The sequence below is a fragment of the Homo sapiens genome, chromosome 18, assembly GCF_000001405.40.
Source record: "Homo sapiens chromosome 18, GRCh38.p14 Primary Assembly".
NCBI classification, from domain to species: Eukaryota; Metazoa; Chordata; class Mammalia; order Primates; family Hominidae; genus Homo; species Homo sapiens.
Window position 1 is genome coordinate 46,636,192 of NC_000018.10, and position 22,226 is coordinate 46,658,417.

A 22,226-nucleotide genomic window follows, 5' to 3' on the forward strand; every position below is an offset into this window, starting at 1 on the left:
GAGGGCAGTCCTAAAGATGCCATTCCCTTTAAGGGGTTAGAGGTTGGGTACTTCCCCAGGAAGTGCATTTAAAGAAGAGCCTAGAGACGAAACAGTCATCTCCAGCGAATGTCAGGCACCGTACTGTGCAACAGTCCTGGTGCCCCCCAGCTCACCTTCTGTGCCTACAGGTAGGGCAGGCTCCCTCACACCTGTGTCTTGACGCATGAAATGCAAGATTCCCATTAGAGGAACACCTGGAAACCTGATCAAGGTCCAGTTCCCTCCACTCGACGAGGATCTGCCAATCACCTCCGTCAAAGGGTCAGTTGGTCAGCCTAGAACACCTCCCTTCCCTGAAGAGCAGGAATGAGAGAAGGTTCCAGTGATTGCCAGCCAGAACTTTGGGAACTGGCCCTTGAGGGTGGGGAGAGAGGAACAGGCTCCCTAACAGTCTGTCCCACTTTGGGGGCTGGTGGTATAAGTTCACTGAACATGCCCCCCTTTACTCTCTCCTGTTACTGTCCATATTGCATGTTTTGAAATATTTTACCTACCAAACTTCATGGATGAAATAATAGACCCCATTTTTATCATCGAAGTAGCAGCCAAATACCAAGTTGACGTAATTTCAGGTGAAAAGCAAAGAAATTTAACTTTTTCTTTACCAATGCAGTCATTGGAATATTTGAAGCCTGGGTGAAGTGGCTCACACCTGTAATCCCAGCACTTTGGGAGGCAGAGGCAGGTGGATCACCTGAGGTTGGGAGTTCGAGACTAGGCTGGCCAACATGAAGAAACTCCATCTCCACTGAAAATACAAAAATTAGCCGGGTGTGGTGGTGTACACCTGTAGTCCCAGCTACTCAGGAGGCTGAGGCAAGAGAATCACTTGAACCCGGGAGGTGGAGGGTGAAGTGAGCCGAGATCGTGCCATTGCACTCCAGCCTGGGCAACAAGAGGGAAACTCCGCCTCAAAACAAAAACAGGAAACAAACAAACAAACAGAAAAAAACCATTGGAATATTTGAACCCCTTTTTCATTCCATTCTCTGGAATCCAGCCTGGAAATACTAAGAACCTAATGCCCTCTAGCCTGTGAAGGAGCTGGGGGCCCAGGAAGCCTCATACAAAGACTAGGTCAGGGGGTGTCTACCCTGAGGATTCTTGTGGAACCCTGAAGAACCACTGAGTTACATGAATTGTTTCTCATGATGACTTTTCAGAGGCTCTTCTCCTGACAGTGGAACCCTGGATTTTTGAGTGACCAAAGCAGGTCAGATGAGCTGAAAAGTGGCAAGTTTGACAGTGTGCTAACGATTGATCATAGTAGAGGTTGGATAAAGAATTAAAGATGCTTAATGTTTGTGGAAGAACCTATGAAATTCACCCCAGTTGAAAAAACAGGTGAAGGGCCCAGGCAAAAAATTCTTTCTCTCTCTCTCTCATACTCACACACAAACACACACACACACATAAAAATTGCCAATAAATGTATGAAAAAAGTTCAACCTCACCAGTAATCAAAGAAAGGACATCAAAAATCCCCTTTAATTATCCAACTGGATAATCAAACAATACTACCAAATGTTGGCAAGGGTGAGGGACATGGGCACCCTTACACAGCTGGTAATACTGTGCAAAGATACACCCTATCTAGAGCAATTCAGAAATGTCCCTCAAAAGCTTTAAGCATGTACATTCCACTTGACTTAGAAATTCCACTTAGGAGTTTATCTTAAGGAAAGAATCATAAACCTGTGCAAAGATTTAGGTGAAGTATTTATAATAGCATTGTTATAATAGCAAAAATTTTTTAGAGGGGGAGCACAGTACAAATGTCCAATGATAAGGGATCCAGTGAATAAATGATGGTATCTCCATGCTCCAGGGCACCACAGAGCCATTCCAAGGAGGGGTGTCGAGCAATATTTAATGGCACAGAAGTAGTCATGCTGTGAAACGGGGTGTTGCACCAGCCCATTCATTTAAACTATATATGCATAAAAAAGACTAGAAATGAAGACATAAAAATGTCACCAGTGTTGTTTTTTCAAGTAATGGAATTACAAGTATTCTTCATGTTTGCATATATCTATTTTCTAAATTTTCTACAATGATCAAATTTGGTTTCTATAATCAGAGAAAAGATCAATAATGTGTTTTAAAAAGAATCAATGGCCGGGCACGGTGGCTCATGCCTGTAATCCCAGCACTTTGGGAGGCCGAGGTGGGTGGATCACCTGAGGTCAGGAGTTTCAGACCAGCCTGGCCAACATGGTGAAACCTCGTCTCTACGGTAAATACAAAAAATTAGCTGGGTGTGGTGTCAGGCACCTGTAATCCCAGCTACTCAGGAGGCTGAGGCAGGAGAATCACTTGAACCCAGGAGGCAGAGATCACAGTGAGCGAAGATTGTGCCATTTCACTTCAGCTTGGGCAACAAGAGTGAAACTCCATCTCAAAAATAAATAAACAAATAAAATAAAAATAAAATAATCAATGAAGTTGTAAGTTATGATGATAGGAATCACAGAGGAACAAGTCAAGTGTCAAGTTTAGCTGGGAGGTAGAAAATTGGAGATACAGAAATTGAGAGCTAAAGCCCATCAAGACAATGGATAAAGGGTGGAGCTTGGAGTACACGCTGGAAGGCAGACTCCAACAAGTGTGTTAGCCTTCTGTTGTTCAACTGAGTGATTGTAGGAAGCCACTTCTCATCTCCTGGCTCCAAAGTCCCTTCCCCTCTCATGGTCCATGACTCTATGAGAGCAGGGTATTCTGGTGATGGTGCCGGCAATGTAATGCCCCCCTTTTTGGAAAAGCAAATATGTTCTGTGATGGGATGAGATGAGGCCAGAACTTTGGGGGACAAATGTATCTGCCTCCCATTATTCCCGTAAAATTAAAATGATCGAATTTAAGGCCTTTGCCCAGAGATGTCACTTGAAATAAGTTGTTTTACTCCTCATAAAATCAGGAGGAGTCAGAGGGCAGCATGATGAGCTCTGGCTGCTGCAAGCTCTGATTCCTACCCACTATGCCTTGGCTGTAACTCACCTGCCTTGGGCATCGTAAGAAAAGAAAAAGGATAGGAAAATGGGGAAGGCTGCCTTGATCTCAAAGGGGACTTCCGATAGATACCCCATCAACAAGAATCATTGAGAACACAGGATTTGCTCAGGGCTGTGCCTATCCTTCCATCATGCCTCCAATCCCTCTTGTATTTCCCACCTCCTTGAACCCCTAGAGCATAAAAAGTTGCCCATAGGAAGACCCCAGGAAGATATGGGGCTTCCCCTTGGCCCTAACCAACAGGAAGGCCCTGGAGGCATGCCAAGATGAGGTAGGTGAGACTGCCCAGAGCAAGACAGGCACGATTCTTTCCTGGGTGAGCCCAGCCCAGCTAGGGAGGGATGGCAGGCAGGCCAGCCTAGGCACTGACCTCTGGGCATGTCCATGGGGTTGAAGCTGGCCAGCAGGTCACGGCACCACTGGCGGTCACCTTCCACCTTGCTCAGCCAGTTGTTGCAGTTGAAGTAGTAACGGAGATGAGGCCTCTTCATGTCGGTCACAATCACATGGTCCAGGTACCAGCTGGCATTCAAGCCCGTGTTGTCATGCTCAATCCTGAGGCAGAAGCCAAGGCCCACACCATCACTGGCAGAACTGAAACAGCACCCCTTCCATACTGGAATACCCAGATGTTTACTCCAAAGAGAGGTCCAATTATTCTGTTGTTGTTGTTACTTTATCTCCTGAACCTCGGTTTCCTCATCTATAAAATGGGGATACCTTGCAAGCTGGATGTGCACATTACTGAATGTTACACTGTTATATTGCATGCAAGGAAATATTAACTATCGCCTTTCACAGAAAATCCAAGATCCCTAGGGCTTGCCGTGGGATCATCTTGATCTTCCCCTTTGAGGTCCTGGCTATTCAGGTCTGTTTCCTTACCCTGGCCTTTGAAAGCAGTGAGCCTCTCCCACTCTGGCTCAAGCACGGATACACACAACACTTCTTGATATCCAGCTGAGTCAAGGTCAAACAGGACAGTAAAGGGAAAAGATGACAAGGGAATCCCCAGGAAGCAGAAGCCAACTAGACCACCTGATTTACAGGACACAGCTTATACCCTGGGGCTCAACCGCCTCTCCCATTGCTGTGAGATGATTAAGTGTGTCCCTCTCTTCATCATGACTCCTGGACCTGGACAACAAGCAGATACTCCCCTTAGTCCTACAATCCAGAGGACCCCTATGGCCATCTAGACCAGGGTGGTCCCATAGACATAACATGAGTCACACATGTGAGCCACAGATGCAATTTAAAAGTTTCCTAATAGCCACATGTAAAAAGATCCAAAGAAACTGGTAGAATTTTAATAATATGTTTCATTTAATTCCATTTACCATCTCAACATATAATTATGTAAAAATGTATTAATGAGCTATTTTTTCATTCTTTTTCTTGTACTAAGGCTTCAAAAATCTGCAGTGTATTTTATATAGGTAGCACGCCTCAATTTGGATTAGCCACATTTCAAGTGTAATAGCCACATATGGTCAGGGGCTACTGCACTGGGCAGTATAGATTCAGACTCTTCAAAATCTGTCCCTAAAATCTTCTAACACTTCCCATAGCCCCCTCTATCTCCTCTCCAACGTCCAGTTTCTTGACCCCTGGACCTCACTTTGCATCAAACATCTTACCCCTGTGAGGCTTTATCCTTGCAGTTGTTAACAGGACAACCACAGCTCAATACAGCACACAACCCCAACAGACAGATGAAACCCATGATACACCAGGCCCTTCCCTTGGAAGGATGTATGCCTCTGTCTGGCACAAAGTCTGGCACATAGTAGGACCTCAGCTAGAGGTCGCCTTTACTCACACAATGACACCCCTTCCCAATCTCCCCTGCAAGAGCCCTTTCCCTGCTCGTAACCTCCTTCCCTACACTTAATCAATACCCAGGATATTCATGTGCCCCTTATTTCCCCAGCAAAGAGAGTTCGTGATATTGTATTTTCTAGCAGAAGGGATAAAAAATCAGGACTAAACTGAGGCTGCATTTGACCCCTGTCCAGCCTTAGTCTGGGTGCAATCAGACCACAAATGAACATCTGACAATGGGCATGAACTTGAATAGGGGTGGATGGCAGGGACTAGGAAGGGAAAAGGGAGGCAATTGAAGGCTCTTCCTCTGCCATTGGACTAGTAATCTCTCCTTATACCTTCACAAGAAGCCCCCAGAGAGGGCAAGACTGCGGATGCTCTCTGTCCAAAGACATGCTGCAACAGGACTTGGTATCTCTACCACTTGCTGAGTGTTTACTGTGTGCCAGTTACTGTTCCAAGCACTAACTCATTGAGTCCTAGGGTTATCACCGATGAGGCACCATTTTTACAGATGAGGAAACTGAGGTTTGGAGAGATAACCTGTCCAAAGTGGCACAGCTAGTAAATAACAGAACGGACACTTGAACCCAGGCACTCTGGACTCAGAGTCTCTGCCCCTAACCACTATGCTATAATGTCTCTCACAGCATATTCTCAAGTTTGTAAAAATTTGTCTTGAAATGTCTTAACCCAAAAAAAATGAATCTCCAGTGGGGAAGTTTAGGGCACTGTGATTCAGGATGACAGGGAAAGATTTGGGCCTTTGGTAGCCCCTCAAATAACATCTGGGAAGTAATTCATACCCAGAAATTGTCAATATTGAAGTCAATCCCTCACTTTCATCTCCACCCTCAATCCTAGTCAGGCGCCAGCTTCTCACCTGACTTTATAGATGAGGCCCACATTGTTGGTTCTCACCCGGAACACATCGACGTTGCCCTTCTCAAAGGCAGACTTGCTCCTGCAATGAACACGTGCAGTTAGTGCAGATCAGCTGTTGGCTCACAGGCCTGGGAGGAGAGCCAAGGGCTGGCATTCCGCTTCTTCCTCCATCATCCCACTCCTGGGGAGAGCTATGAGCAACAAGATCCCATTCCAAGATTCCCTTCTGACATGGTTCCCAGGGGAGGGCAGGGACTGCTAGTATCATTCCGTGCCCTCACACCCAGGTTCTCATTTGATCCTTGCTGTGAGTCACTAAAACAAGCACACAGACAATATCAGCCCCATTTTACAAACTGCTAGTTGGTAGCAGAGCTGGGACCAGAACCTGGCTCTCCCAGTCATGACCCCATGCCCTTTGGCTGCTCTGGGTTGGGTGGATGGAGGAGGAAGGAAGGAATAAACACCTTAGGACTCTTTGGCCTTCTTGCCACTCCCCATCACTGGCCTTGCTTTTGCTGGGAAAAGTTGCAATGGCAGCCCCAAGTAGATGCAGACCTTGGGTGGCAGTCCATGGTCCTGCCATTCCAACAAGAAAGAAAACACTCAACCCCAAACCAACAGCCAGGGAAGTAGGGCAGTGAGGGAAGTGCATCTCTGGCATCCTGCAAATGGTGTGAACAGAAGAAAGTACACCTGAGACATCAGCCGTGAGGCAGCCAGGCAAGTCCAGATTCAGGAGCATCCTAAGTACAGTGAGCATAGACACAGGAGGGCTGCAGCAGCCTCGCCACAGAATCCTCTGGGAGCAGAAGTTTGAAGCTCATGTCAACAGCTGTTCCATCCTGTGTGCAGGGCCGGGGCCCCTGCCATTTGAGCCCCGGCCTGCCAGCAGCTCTTGCTGTCCCCAGTTTATCCCACTGGGCTGAGAGCTGCAGGCCTCACTCAGCGCTCTCAGCCAGGACTCTCAGGAACAGCACACAGCTCATGGGAAAGGAAAATCATAGAAGATGTGTGCCATCACAGAAGATTTATCCACCATCGACGTCTTTTAAAATAAAGCGGAAGGGGAAGGGCCTTCTCCCCAAGGCATCAGGCTCAGACTCTCTTGGTAATAGACGGCTTTTAAGGTTCTACAGAACCCAGGAGCTGTGATTCTGTGAACGGACTCATGGTGTCAAACAATCTGCCCTAGGAAGAAGTTTCCTTAACTCCAGACAAAAATGTACATGGAGGCAGCCTTGTCAGGGAAAAGAGACCCCCACAGGATGCAGCCTGGGTGCAAAGGATGAGGAGGAGAGAGGCACAGAACCTTCTGAGTTTGCTGGAGTGAAAGGGGTGACACCCAGGCTTGCTGCAGGTACCTTAGGAAGGGAGGGAGGAAGCAGGGCAAAGTGCCCAGAGTTTCTACTCCACCATTGGCAAAATAAAGACAGAGAATGTCGACTGTTAGCTCCTGATGAAGAGCAAGGAAAATACAAAGTTTTCTCCACGAAGCACCAGTAAATCCTCCTGCCCAGGAAAATAACTTACCAGACCAAGCACTTAAAGGGAACTAAATCAAACTAGCAATCGTGAGGGTCTGCCTGATGTGGGAATTTCACTTTCAAAGGAGAATAACAACACACCCCATGCTTTCGTTCAGAGTCACAGCAGCTGTCAATAACTTGGAGAATGTGTGGACATTGTTTCTGCACATCAGGATTATATAAATGGGAAACAAAAAAAAAGGAATAAGAGGGCTTTTCTCTTCCAATATATAAGACAAGGCAAGTGATCTTTAGAATAAATAGACAAAGCCTCTCCATCAAATAAACACCCTAAGAAACAGTCACCCTGGGAAGCTATATAATGAAATACTTTGCAACCATTAAAAATCCTATTGTAAAAAAAAATACTTAATGAAACAGAAATAGGTTTATAATATAGGCTTAAAAGAAAAGGTAGGTTAAGACCAGAATGTACAAACAGAATAATCAATACAAACAGGATACCATCTTCATTTAAAAACAATGGAGTGAGAAGATTTACTTTTAAAAAATCATGTCTAGATGTTGAGGCCATTATGAAGTGTTGGCTCCTTGTTCTTGTCTATATACATTTTTAACTTTCCAAAAGGAACACATATTGTTTCTGTAATTATGAAAAAAGCACAATCCCATGTTTCAGCAACTCCCCCATCCCCAGCCCAGCCTGCAGGCTGCCTGGATCAAATTCTTTGGAAGCTGTTTGGGAATTACTGGGCTTCATCTTCTGATGGTGCCTGAAATTTTAGAAACAGCCATTGCCAGCAAGTAGGGGAAAAGGAAGGGAAGTATCCCCATTTTTAGCCAAAGACAAGGTGTGACTTGGAAGGAAAGCAGCTGGCTTTCTGGGGTGCTTCTGATGAAAGTTCCAGAAAAGAAGCTCCAACAGTTGCATTCAGTAAAGGAAAGCTCCAGAAAGGCCCTGCACCCATGACGGTATCATTTAAGAATGTGGCAGATGTGATGGCTTATGCCTATAATCACAGTGCCTCGAGAGGCCAAGGCAGGAGAATCATTTGAGGCTGGGAATTGAAGACCAGCCTGGCCAACATAGCAAGAGATAGCTCTACAAAAAAATTTAAAAATTGGCTGGGCCTGGTGGTGTGCACCTGTAGTCTCAGTTACTCAGGAGGCTGAGGCGGGAGAATCACTTGAGCCCAGGAATTTGAGGTTGCAGTGAGTGAGCCTTGATCTTGACACTGCACTCCAGCCTGGGTGACAGAGTGAGACCCTGTCTCTAAAAAAGAAAAAAAAAAATGTGAGTTATCTCCATTACCTTCCAGTGACCAGGCTGAACGTGAATACATACGTTCCAAAGCATTTGTGAAACAATCCACCATGGCATGGCGCTTTATAGTCACTTGCTGGGGGGTGGGGAGGAGCGTATGTGGAAGCAGGGACACCAGGGAGAAGATCCACCAGGATGGACAGAGCAAGAGCAGAGGGAGTGCTCCACGCTGTCTCAGGACTACACTGGAATATTTCTGGGTTCCGCAGTGCTTATGAGATGGACACCAATCTCTTTTTGGAAGACAAGGGGAAGGCTTTCCACATCACAAGAAGAGGAGGAAAGAGTGGCAGAGGCAGGGCTCTTCTGATTCCCTTCACTCAGGGTCAGGGCTGGGATCATCCCAAATAAGCCCCCAACTCAGGATTAGCTTCTGAAATCCTCACATCTGGATTGCAAATGCCTGTGGGTTTCAGAAAACTGGGGGTAGGAAAGAAATAGAAAGGAGAGAGGGTTTCGGGTCAAAGGAAATCTTAGAAATCTTCATGTTTCCTTGCAGAAGCCTGGAGCCTCACCAAGGCCACTGGTCGATTCTCACATAAAGGCTAAGGCAGTGCACAGCCCCTGCCATTCAGCAGGAACCCCCACACGGAGATCCTTTACAGGCTGCACGGGGCATTTTAGCCATCAGCCAGCAGAGCCATCGGGCTAAAATGCCAGGCATTCTCTGACACACTCAGATGGTGAATTTTCAACCAAATAACCATGTTCCAGACGATACATGAGATCCCATCCTTTTGCCATATTCTGAACACATGACTCAGAGCTGGAGGTGGCCCTGGTTAATGGGGAAGAGTGCGAGGAAACCCAGAAGATGGGGCCTTCTTCTGGCAGCCACTGCTGTGGGTGCTTAACTGGGGTGGGGTCGGGGTAGAGGTTCACTAATGGGGGAATCTAAGTCCACTGAGTACCAAGGAATGTAGGCACCAGACCACAAAGGCAAAGAAAATCAGCACTGGTACTGAAGTTCCTCTTGGAGAAGGAATTATTCTGTACTAGGAAAAAAAAAAATCCTAATACAGCATTTGGGAGTGAAAGTGAAGACCTGGGGCACAGAAGGAAAGGCACAAGAATGACAAGAATTGAGGGGTGAGAAAGAAGAAAGAGAATGTGGGAGAAGCAGGAGGGAGAGGTGGGATGAGACATGACGAGAGATCACGGAGGACAGGTCAGGAGAAACACCATGAAAGAGGATGGCCGAGCTGTAAGACTGAGGCTCTAATATTCCTTTTTAAGTTGTTTGCATTGCTGCAGTGTGAACTCTCTCTGGGGCCAGGGGCTATCAGTGAAGTGTGTTACACACAAATATGCATGTGTGTGTGTATTATAGGTGAGCAAGGAAAATGCAGTTGGTTCTAGCTGCCCCTGGAGGTTTGGGTTTGGATAACACAGTGTGGAGGGGATGGGAGGGCAGCAGACAGTGAGGTGCGAGGAGACTGTGGGACCAGTGGATATTCTCAGCCAGATCCCAGGATGGGGTGGGGCAGCCGATGGCCTGAGATAACTGCATCTAGACCTCACGGAGCAAGGGGACCTCAGCTGCCATATGTTCTGGGTTGCATGGGCAGCCTGGAATTCCTCAGAAAGCAATGCCCCTCCCAGACCTGCAGTTTCCATCTTGAATAGAAAGGTCTTAGATAGCAAGGACCATGTCCTTCAATGCTCTTTGAAGGCCTTTTCTCAGTTCTTGTCACAGCCAGACTCTGGCCTCCTCCTTCCCCACTCGTCCTGCTCACTGTGCTCAGATGATCTCTGTTGATACGGTAAGTTGAAACTCCACCGGTCAGCTTTCCAGCAAGGCCTTCTTCAGCCTGGCCTTCCAGACCTTTCTGACTTTCCCCCTCCCTGCCCATCAACATGGCCCCACATTCCCAGCTACAGGCCTCCTCTGCCCCCATCAGCCCGCAGCGCTCATTGCTGCCTCCAGACTTTGGCAATCTGTTCCCCTCAGTCTAAAGGACCCTCTTTCTTCCTCTCTCATCTGAGTTATTTTCACCACTTAAGACCCAGATTAAGTGTCTGTCCCTTTAAAGTCTCGCTCTAGCCACACTGATACCACTGGCCTTTGCCGAGCTCTGACTATATACACAGAACTGGGAGAGATGCTGGCAGCACAGAGCAGACCTTCCCCCAGGCCATCCTCCAGCTCCCTCCATCACTCCTCGAAGCCCCTCTCCAGCCCCACAGCTGGAACTCCGAACTGTGTCCCCATCACTGAGACCACCCATTCTGCTCTAGAGCACTCCTGACCAGCTGGATTGGGGCCCTGGCCAGACCTATGCTCTTGCTGCCCAACCTGGAACATGGTCCATATATAGGCAGAGACTACCACCAGTCTCTGGGGCCAACCCCTGGGGTAATTGGGGAGGGTTGATTCCCATCCTCAGGGCTGCCCAGGAGAAGCTGGCTGCCCCATGGGATCTCAGCAAAGCCAGGAGGTCCCAGCCCTGCCAGCTCATTCATGCCCTAGACCCCCTTCAGACCCCATGAGAGGGAAGGCTGGAACCCGAACTCCTGGGAATGGAGGCTCAGTGGAAATCCATGCCATGTTATAAAGGGTGGCTCAGGGGCCCTTCCTGAGAAGACCTTTTGACAAATGAAAAAGGGGAAGAATCTGAGGATGCTGAATGTGTGAAAGGAGGGAAGGCAGTTAGGACCACCATCAAAGGAGAAAAGGATTCATTTTGTTTTAAAAGGAAAAGCTGGGAACTTCAGAAACCAACCGGGCGACTCCCTAGTGTTTGAGGCTTCTCCCTACAGCAGTGCACTCTGGGAACACATGGCAAAGAGGATGGAGGTTTCATGTATTCTCTTTACCGTGCCCACATCATCGGACGGAAAGACTTCTGCAAGCGAGTCAAACTGCAGTGTAAGCGGTACAAGAAGGCAGGTACCCTGTTCTGTGGAAATGGATAAAATGGGACGTTATACCTGCCTCGATGCAGCAGCATGGACGCTATAGCCCATGTCACGTGGGGCCTGGCCAGCCCCCAAGGTACAGGGTGCAGGGATCTCCTGGCTTCTACAGCTTCCTCTGCCAGCCCTGGAAGTGGCAGGTCATTAACCCCAGGGTCACAATCTGGAGCCCCAGGATGTCTTAAGGAGCATCTTCCTGGGACACACTCCCTTAAGGAGCACACTCCCTGGGACCATAGGGTCATGTGGTCAAGGGAAATGTCTACATCAATAATGTGAGGTTTGAAGGCCAGGCACAGTGGCTCACACCTGTAATCCTGGCACTTTGGGAGGCTGAAACGGGCAGATCACTTAAAGCCAGGAGTTCAAGACCAGCCTTGCCAACATGGTGAAACCCCGTTTCTATTAAAAATATGAAAAATTAGCCGGTTATGGTGGCACACGCCTGTAGTTCCAGCTACTCCGGAGGCTGAGGCAGGAGAATCGCTTGAACCTGGGAGGTGGAGGTTGCAGTCAGTTGAGATTGCACCACCGCACTCCAGCCTGGGCGACAGAGCGAGACTCCATCTCAAAACAAAACAAAACAAAAACAAAAACAAAAAACAATCAAACAAAAAAAAACGTGGGGTTTAAGGACGAGCTTCACCATTGAAAAGCTCCATGACTCTGAGCTACTCATGCCTTTCCAGGCTTTGGTTTCCCCATGAGCAGATTAGAATAGAGCAGCAGTTTTCAAATGTTTCATGGACTCAGACCAGCTGATCAATTCTGTTCCATTCAGCACAGTTTGAAAACCAGCTGAACAGACCACTCCTGAGGCCCAAAACGTCTCTGAAATTCCAGTCGTCTGCTAACATGTTCTCAGGTTTTGCATGTATGTTGGTGTATGCGTGCATGCAGTGGGGGGAAAGGATCCGAAGGAGACAACGGTCCCAACTCTCACTAGTTATAATAAAAAAGAGCACACAAGGCATACACACGCACAAGCACACACACAAGCAATCCCTGCGGCTAGCTGAGTGTGCAATGGCTGGCAGGCAGGTTTAACACAACACTGGTCCCTGGTGAGACCTTGTATTTTATGCTCACAGCTCCCTCAGATGTATGGTCTTCCCGATATCTGTGTGATGATATATGAGGAAACCAAGGCCCCGAGTGCAGAGAGACTGGGCCAAAGTCACACGGAACTAAGGAACAGCTAATATGGGACAGCTAATATGGATTCTTGGGAATTCTGAGATCCATAGGAGGCATTACCGTCCAAAAGAATCAAGAGAGGAGCTGAGGGAGGTGCACCGGGGGATCCCCAGCTGGTACACGGTCTGTCATTAGCAGAGGCTTCATACCACTTAATAACCTGTGGTCAGATGTGCCTTCTCCCCAGAGAAGCAGGCCACCCTTGGGTCCCAGAACCTAATCAACAGGACTAATGGCCCAGGATCCCACCAAGGCCAAGTGGGTACTCACTTGCTGGTGAGCTGGAGCTTGGGAGAGAGCCCATTCTCTCCAAAAAGCGTGATGAAGACATTGGCATCCGTCCCTGCACCGCGAACATCCCCCGTGGCTGTGACCACTTCATACACTGGAGGAGGAGAGGAGGAGACAGATTGCAGGCTCAGAAAAAAACCGGAATCCTGTGTGGGCCTGGAGAATCCAGCCCTTGCTGGGGAGGCCCAAGCACAAAGGACTCTTGGAATCCCTGCTGCATCCTGTAGGCCTCTGAGCCATGGTGAGACCCACGATATGTCCTGCTGCAAGATCAAAACTTCACATTTAAACCATGCACTCGTTTTGCACACGAGGAGGCTGAGGGCAAGAGGGCAGGTCCTGCACGTTATCAACACCAGAGCCCGGCCCAAAGCCTCCAGATGCCCATTCTGTAATCTTTCCAGCACAACACACTGATACCCTCCTAGACATGGCCTTCTTCAGAGCCTGCACCCAGCTCCCAGCTTCCTCTCTGCCCTCTACACAAGGTGACTGTGGCCAGCCCTCACCTCCCATGACCTCCTGGGCACTGACATTTCAGTCTCAGAATAAGCCGTCCCAGGGCTGGGTGTGCAGAGCTTTGCAGGGGGTCCTTCTTTGGCAGGGGCTCTGATTTCTGTCTCCTCAAACCCTTGAAGCTTATTCTGTTTACTGTCAACACCTTTCTTATTCAGGGCATCAGTACAATTATAGCCCTATCGACTTCCTGGAGAGAGAAGGCAAGAATGCATCTGGATTCTTAGAGACAGCAGAATCTACTCTAGCCAAGTGAAGCAAGCAGGATGCAATAGAGATATTAGAAGGCTTGCAGAAGTTTTGGAAAGGCTGGAGGCATGTGCTCTATACCCATTTCCAGAAGCAACTCCTGGAATCACAGCACAGAACTAGCCTGGGGAAGGTTGCTGCCACCAGCCACCCTAGAGCCACATCCCCTCCGCCAAGAGCAGAAAACAGCCCACCATCACCTCCCTGTCCTTCTGCTACTCATGTCTCCAAAATAATTCCTTGTCCCCAGCTCATTCCATTATGAGATTTTCACTTCTGAGTCAAAATCTTGCACTGGAACAGCCAGTTCTGGAAATCTAAGGTACATGTCTGTACCAAAGTAGGCTGAGAAAATAATAATTCCACGTTGGGAAGATGGAATTTACAATGTGGAGAGTCAGCAAAATGTGGGGAGGGTGTTTTAAATATTTGGGGCATATGATCTATGTCCACCACATCACTGGATTGTATTAATACAAGTACTTAATAATTGTAGTAATAAACAACATTGAGTGGTTGCTTACTGTATGCCCTGAGCTAAGGGCTTACATGTATGATTGTACCTGATTATCACGGTAAACCTATAGTTATTTCTACTTCCGGTCTTTTCAGAGCAGATCCCCAACCAGATGCTGAGTATATTTGAGTGGCCCCAAAGACGCCCAGCTGATTAGGAGGATATTTTGAAGTTAGACATTCGTTATTCAAACCTGTCAATTCAGAGCCCATTCCACAGAGGGCACAAGTGGCAAAGTGTGAGGGAGAATGGGGGAGGAAGGAAAAACATAAATAACGTGGAGTGTTGTGTGCTAGGCACCTTGGCAGGTACTTTACAGATATCATTCATACTTCAGCATGCCCAGAGCCAGTGTGGGCTGGTAGAAAGTACTGGACTCCAGAGCCACAGAGACCTGGATGCAGCCATTGGCTCCTCCACTTTGAGCAAGGTGACCCTGGACAAGTGCCAGCCTCTCTGTAACACCTGAACGATCTTACCTGGTTTGCAGGGCATTCTGGGGATTAGAGATGATGTATGAAAAGCCTCTGGCACACAGAAGAAACTCAACAAATAGTAACCTGGTTTTAAAACTACCGTTCATACGGAAAAGCCTATTTCAACTTTGAGAGCTAAGAGTTTGTTCTTTTGGCAGATTAGATGTAGCTCAACTAACATGCACACGATCCACAGATATTCCAGAAGCCCTGCAGGAGACCTCTCATTCTCATGTGGTCCTTACAGGCCTGTGAGGCACCAGGATCAGGAGTGTTTTGGGGTGAGTGGACCTTTTGATCTCCTTGGTTCTGATGAAGGTCCCCATCGAGGCACCATTAGGGGGAGAAAAGCAGCCATATATTTGCACAACTCCTTGTCTTTTGTGATAACCAAAGCCTTAATTCTTAATAGTCTATACCACAGGGAGGCTGATCAACCCCCGGAGCCCACTCCTGACTCCTCTCAGCACAGACCTGGGACCTGACATGTTGCCCACACAGCTTGCACATAAAGGCATTTCCAAACCAAATGCCCACAGGATTTCCAGCCTGGTGGAAATTCTAGAGCCACACCACATGAGAGAAGACATAGACACCGGAGAATGCTTGGTTTGGAGAAAAGGAGAGGAGCATTGGAGAGGCATAGGAGAGGAATGAAAAACTAGTCAATAGTTGATTCTGGGATGCACAGCTACTTCTTAAATGGACACAAACCATTAAAAAAAACTGACAAATTGGACTTCATTAAAATTGAGACCATCGAGAGAAAGGCAAGCCAGAGACTAGGGAAGGTATTTGGAATGCGTATATCCAACAAAGCACTCAGAGCCAGAAGATACCAAAAATTCACATCAATCAATAAGTAAAGGAGGGAACCACACTATTTTTTCAATGGGCAACAAGTTTTTAAGAAGATAAGTGTACACTTAATACCCAGAAATTCCACTTTTAAGTCTTTACCCAAGAGAAATGAAAGTGTGTTCCCACAAAGACCTGCACACAAATGTTCATAACAGCTTTATTCCTAATAGACCCAAACTGGAAACACCCTAAACGCCCATCAACAGGGGCATAGATAAACGAACTGTGGTATATCTGTACAACAGAATGCTACTCAGCAATAAAACAAAATGAACTCCTGATGCACAATACAGATGACTCTCAAGTGCATTCTATGCACAAGTCAGACACAAAACACAACATACTTTATCATGTCATTTATATGAAACTCTAGAAGAGACCAATCTAATCTATTGTAGCAGGAAGCAGAAATGTGGTTGCCTGGGGTCAGAAGTAGGGGGGACTGACTGGGAAGGAACACAGGGAACCCTTGAGGGCCAATTTAAATGGTCCATGAATTGATTTCCTAGTGGATGCAAGAATGTAGAACTCACCAAACAGAACATTTAAAATAGGTGTATTTTATTATAAATAAATTATACCTCATTGAAGTTGAAAAATGGACAAAAGACTCAAACAGACATACCACAAAAGAGGATAGCCACATAGCCAATAGACATATGGAAAAGTTCTCTGCCTATTTATCAGGGAAATGCAAATTAAAACTACAATGAGACACTGCCATGTACCCACCAGAATGGCTAAAAATAAGAAGACTGACAATACCAAGTATGGGCAAGAAGGTGGAGCCATTGTCACTCTCATACATGTAAATTGATCCAAGCACTGGTAACTAAACATATGCTCACTTGTGACCCAGCAATTCCACTTCCAATTATAAATCTAAGAGAAACAAGTACATGTGTTCATCAGAATATGTGTACCAGATTTGTAGTAGCTTGACTTGTAATAGCAAAAAAACAAAAACAAAACCCCAGAAATAACCCAGATGTTCATTGACAATGGAATGGCTAAGTAGACAGTGGTGTATGTATCAAATGCAATAGTAATCAGCAATAAAAAAGAACAAACTATATATTGTGTCACACGTGGATAAATCAGATATAACGCTGAAAGAAAAGCTAGACCCACACAAATGTGCACACTGTATGGTTCCATTTAAAAGTTCAAGAACAGGCCAGGAGCAGTAGCTCACACCTGTAATCCTAGCACTTTGGGAGGCCGAGACAGGCAGGTCATGAGGTCAGTTCAAGACCAGGCTGACCAACGTGGTGAAACCCCGTCTCTACTAAAAATACAAAAATTAGCCAGGCGTGGTGGCGCACACCTGTAATTCCAGCTACTCAGGACGCTGAGGCAGGAGAATTGCTTGAACCTGGGAGGCAGAGGTTGCAGTGAGGCGAGATCACGCCACTGCACTCCAGCCTGGGTGACAGAGCGAGACTCCATCTCAAAAAAAAAGTTTAAGAACAGGAAAAAGACTAATCTATGATGACAGAATCGGGAGATTTGTCGCCTCTGAGAAGGGGTGTGAAGGAGCATTCTGGGGGCTGGAAATATTTCATATTCTGATCTGAATACTGGTTGCACAGGCATGTGCATATGTAAACGTACCTTCATAAGTTTTGTTCTGTATATACAATATTGCTCAAGTTTAAAATTTTAACTTAAAGAAAAACTCAATTCAAATAACTGAAGAACTATCTTGTAGAAGACAGATACCTTGTGGAGGACACAGAATTCTGTTGAACTCCAGATGGGAAGACCCCCACTAATAAAGTTTCCAAGTCAGCACAAACAATTGTCAATCTGTTGCTCTTAGCAACAGCCCAGCACATGAGAGACAGTCAAATAATTATCTGGATGAATGATCATATGAATGAATGAAACAATCAATGAATAAATATGGAACAAAACTGACCAGGATTTGAAGCCCAGTTCTACCATTATTGGCTATGTGATTTCAACCAAATGGTTTACTAAGCTTCAATTTCCTCATCTCTGAAGTAGGAATAAATTCTTCCTTGAAGGACTGTGATAAGGATTAAGTAAAATAGCTTTCAACTCTTAAACTCATTGACCTAGAAGTTACATTTCTGGGAATTTACCTTATAGGCATTCTTCCACAGTTGCATGAAAAGATAGGCATTTCATAAGTGGTTACTATCATCATCATCACCATTGCTATAGTTTGAATATGTCCCCTCCAAAATTCAGGTGTTGCCATTGTGATAGTATTAAGGGGTGGGGCCTTTAAGAGGTGATTAGGCCATGAGAGCTTCCCCCTCGTGAAAGGGATTGGGTGCCGTTATAAAGGGGCTTGTCCTTCTGCCTATTGCCATGTGGGAACACAGCAAGAAAGTTCTCACCAGATACTGGCACCTTGATCTTGGACTTCTCAGCCTCCAGAATTTTTGAGGAAGAAAAAAAAATATGTTCTTTATAAATCACCAGTCTCAGGTATTCTGGCATAGCAGCACCAATGGACTAAGAGAGAAATCATTGCTATCATTTCCATTGACAACATCCCCAAGGAAGCTGCCTTGGAAAATTGCATCCCAACAGATGCTGGGGGACTCCTGTCTAGGATGCAGGAGAGGAGATGCCTCCGGGGCTGGAAGCCTGTGCAGGGTGGCCTCTGAGGCCCCCTTCTACTCTCCAGTTCTGGAATGAGTTATTCTTCCCATCATGGGCCCTGTCTTAGGAGAGAGAGCAATGTGCCACGTTCAGCCTGCCCTCAAAGCATTGAGGGAGCTGCTCTCCTCCCTCTGGTTATTGGGGAATCCCAGGGTAGCCAGAAGGTAGCCTAAGAAGAGAGAAGGAACACCTAGGCTTTTCTTCCCTCCTTCTTCCTCCCCATCACACTCATCAAGACTCTCCACGTAACACCAGAGCCCAGAGTTCAAAGGAAGTGGGGGAACCGTTGTTCTAGCACTGAGAGGGTGACAATGACAGTACAGCTGGAGCTCAGCATGTGACCACCGTTAGCATCATCCACATTTATAGGCAGTACCCTGCAACAGACAGGAGAATCCATGGTTCCCTTAGAAATGTCAGCGTGGCACCCACCTCCACTTGCTCTTCTCCAGCTATTTTTACCACAGTCAAAATCGGGCAGTACAAGACCAAGGACCAGCCAGACCAGCTGGATTCAAATCCTAACTCTGCTATTTGCTAGCTGTGTGATCTTGGGCAAGTTACTTAACTTCTCTGTGCTTCAGATTCCTCATCTGAAAAAAAAGGATAACACATCTGCTGCAATGTGTCATCATGAAGATGAAATTAGTTAACATGAATAAAGTGCTTAACTCAGTGCCTGGTGCATGGTGCATGATCCTATTTGGCAGCATCATGAGATGAAATGGGGCGCTTGCCTCGAAAAAGATATTTGAGGTTCTTGTTGTCCATCCTGTTTGTGACCTTGCTCAAGTCACTTAATGTCTCAGGGCCTCAGTCTTTAACTTGTGAAGTGGTGCTGATCCGCCTGCCTTGACTGTGCTCAGGGATCTTAAGGATCAAACATGAGAACATTAGTAAAAAGGCTTCTGAAAGGATAAAAAGGAGAACGATCATTATGGCCACACTGAGGCATGCAGAGCCCGTAAACAGAAGTCAACAGTGTGCTGCTGGCTGTGAGAGGTTCTAGAATGATCTCACCAACAGTCACGTGGCTGGGGAGAATCACCTGGGAAGCCAAGCACACATGGTGGGGATGCTGCCCTGATGTCTCACCTCCCAGCCCCTCCCCTCACAAGAGGGTCAGAGCTTGAGGCACATGTACTGTTAGAAGGTGGCGGATGCTTCCTTTTTCCTGGGCCCACTTCCTCCTACTACAGCCCCCCCTTCTACCCTTGGAGGTACCCAGGATTCTGTACCTGGAAAGGGGCCACAGCCTTCCTGATCTCAGCTGAGACTACCTCCTCTAAGCCCAGGACTGTGCAGGGGCTGAATGATGAGGACTAAAGACAAGTACAGCAAGGCCCCACCCTCACGGAGTTTAGGGTGACTGTGGCTGCAAGCCGGACACAGCTGGACAAGCTTTGCAGGAAACAATGGAACAATTATGAATTGGATGTAATCAGGGAACTCATGGTGGACTGGAATCAAGGAGGGCTTCATGGAAGAGATGGGATCAGAACTGGGCTTTCAGAGTGAGGACAGGAAGAGGGAGAAAGGGGAAGACAAACAAGGCCATGGGCAGGCACAGAGCACACATTCAATAAATACTTGCTGAATGAATGAATGAGTGAATGCATGGATGACTATGGCGCTTACGGGGACTGGTGAGCCACTTTGGAGTCAGCATTGAGAATTTAAATGGCTTCAGAGACTAGGCAGGCAGCACTGATGAGTAAACCAGACCTAGTATGAGATGACAGGGAGTGGTGGAGACTGTGATAAGCTGGACGTCCACAGCCTATTGGCATTCACAGAAAAAAGGATTTCAAAACGCTGGAAAGGAAAAAAACAACTTAAACTCTGCTGGCCAAAACCAGCTCTAGGGTCACAGTTCACTTCTTTGGTTTACCTGGCAAGGAGTTAGAGCAATTTCAAGCAGGTCTCATGTGGCCCAGGGAAAGATGAGACTAGAAGGACAAGGCCCTGGGGTCCAGAGCACCGGCCGCCTTCGACATATGGGATGGACATCTCCTTGCAAAGCCCCAGGCTCCCTGTCTCCATCAACCACAGTGGGCATAGGATGAGCTGTCAGGCTTCCTCCCCAAGACATCCTTTCATGACCCCAGCAGTTCAGGGCGCTCTGCCTGATGCAGACCACCTACTCGGGGACCAGACTGGAACGTGGCTTTGGGGATGTTCAGGAGCTGGAGAACATGGGGCCATGGGGGCACTGTGGCTCTAGTCTATTCTGTTCCACTGAGAATCGGGGGCTAAAGGCAAGTTGCTCCACCTGTCTGTACAACAGGGACCCCACCATCCCTGCATAATGCCTGCCTTCTTACTCCGAGGGGATATGGAACAGACACATGGGATAATCAGTGAGGAAGGGCTTGCTCCGAAATCTTAGAATGACTCCCCATAGACAGGAACAGACCCCTGCCCACCGCAGCCAGCTGCACCACCCGCCCCCCGCAGGCTGGGACCCCGCACCTCTGGCCTTGTAGTACTCGTGTTCCAGCTCCCCCTCGTCGTCCTCCGAGGCGTAGTTCAGCAGCTCCGCTTCGTACAGGGCCAGGAAGTCGATGTCCTTCTTCCTCCGCCTTTTCTTCTGGGGCATCATTCTGTCGGCTGCCTTCTCCCAGCGCTCGCAGGCTCACTGTGCCGCCTCCTCACACCTGCGGGAACCTGAGACCTCCTCCCTGAGCTCTGGCGCCCACGGCCCTCCTATAGCTCAGGCCTGGGTGGGCCAGAGTGCCCCGTTTTCTTGGCTTCCCCGTGCCCAAGGTGCTGTTCCCTCTGCCTTCTCTGGCTCCTGAGCTGAACCTCAGTGCCTTATCTCTGAACCTCCTGTCCCTGTCCCCTCCCACCACCCTCTGGTGAGCCACCTCCTCCTCCTCTGTACCTGCCCCGGGGCTTCTCTTTGGGCCTCATCACTTATTCATGGCGCTGAGGGCAGGCTGACTTCCTTCCTCTCTCCCCTCCCCACCAGCCCTCTCTCCTCCCTATGGAGAATCAGGTGACACGGAGCCCTTGAAGTCCATTTCCCACCTGGCCTCACAGCCAGGGGGTCACCTGGGATCCCTCCAGGCCACCCCAGGGACAGGTGAGGGCTCCTCACCCAGGAGATCTCCCAAGCCTTACAGCCCACACGGGACCCTCCTGAGGAAGGCGGGGCCCCGGAATCAGCCAGGCTCCCAGGACTCAAAGGCCCCCGTTTCTCTCCATTATTCATGACCTCTGATCGTCTTACGGAGCAGGCGGGGTTCTCGCTGGATCCTTCTCGTTCTCTCTCTCTGCTTCCATCTCATCAAGACTGCGGGCTTCCGGAAGTGGCCTCTGGGCACGAGGAAAGCTAGGGCACCAGAAAACTCTCCCCGCTCCCCCTGCCAGGTGAGCTTTATATGCACTAAAGTTTAAACATCATCGTAGCCGATGCCCTCCCAGGTGAACTCACTAACTAGATCAGCTCACCACCTGGACTCACGGGAGGGCATCAGCAAGCTCCTACCCCAGGGCGCACAGCCCGGGCTGCACACCAGAAGCCCCCAGAGAGGTGTTGAACGCTAATGCGTGGGTCCCATCCCCAAGGATTCTGATTTGCTTGGTTTGGGACGCAGCTTGGGCCCCAGTTTTTAAAGCTCCTGGTGACTTTCATGTGCAGCCATGTTGAGGGTCCCTGAATCGCTTCTCAGGTAACTTAGGTGTGCTAACAGGAGTCCTCTAGAAGCAACACGTGTGATTTTGTCCTCTAAGCCAAAATAGTGACTCTAAAGGGGAATTTCAGGTGGAGAGGAAGAGAGGATTTGGAGCGGACGCCTGAGGAGCAGTCGGCACTCACAGGCCTCCCCGGCAGCCTGGGGCAGCTTTGGTCCTGCCCTGCTCTTTGGAGCCATCCAAATCTTCCACTAGGGGGAGGCATCTCTAACCCCGAACGTTCCTACCCAGGAAAGATCAACCTCCCCTCTTCCCCTATTCAGCTGAGGGGCCGCCCTTGAAGCAGCTCA

At 48.0% G+C, this 22,226-nt stretch overlaps 1 protein-coding gene across 2 annotated transcripts in view, besides 2 other annotated features; it reads right to left on the reverse strand.

Moving 5' to 3' along the window:
• Positions 1 to 21,029, reverse strand: part of LOXHD1 (lipoxygenase homology PLAT domains 1) — a 180,260-nt gene extending 159,231 nt beyond the window's left edge. For both annotated transcript variants that reach the window (NM_144612.7, NM_001384474.1), the window contains exons 1-4: positions 20,713 to 21,029; positions 12,964 to 13,078; positions 5,765 to 5,845; positions 3,425 to 3,609 (exon numbers count right to left, since the gene is read on the reverse strand). In NM_144612.7, coding sequence (NP_653213.6) covers positions 3,425 to 3,609; positions 5,765 to 5,845; positions 12,964 to 13,078; positions 20,713 to 20,842 — 511 coding nt within the window. In that variant the 5' untranslated portion in view covers positions 20,843 to 21,029. The remainder of the gene's footprint in view (positions 1 to 3,424; positions 3,610 to 5,764; positions 5,846 to 12,963; positions 13,079 to 20,712) is intronic.
• Positions 21,277 to 22,226: an enhancer, noted in NCBI's record as "H3K4me1 hESC enhancer chr18:44237431-44238380 (GRCh37/hg19 assembly coordinates)". NCBI's record gives its function as "activates a minimal SCP1, AML or CMV promoter by ChIP-STARR-seq in naive H9 embryonic stem cells {active_cell/tissue: H9 hESC(naive)}" and the evidence as "EXISTENCE:reporter gene assay evidence [ECO:0000049][PMID:30033119]".
• Positions 22,037 to 22,086: an enhancer, noted in NCBI's record as "active region_13280". NCBI's record gives its function as "activates an Ori minimal core promoter by ATAC-STARR-seq in GM12878 lymphoblastoid cells {active_cell/tissue: GM12878}" and the evidence as "EXISTENCE:reporter gene assay evidence [ECO:0000049][PMID:35858748]".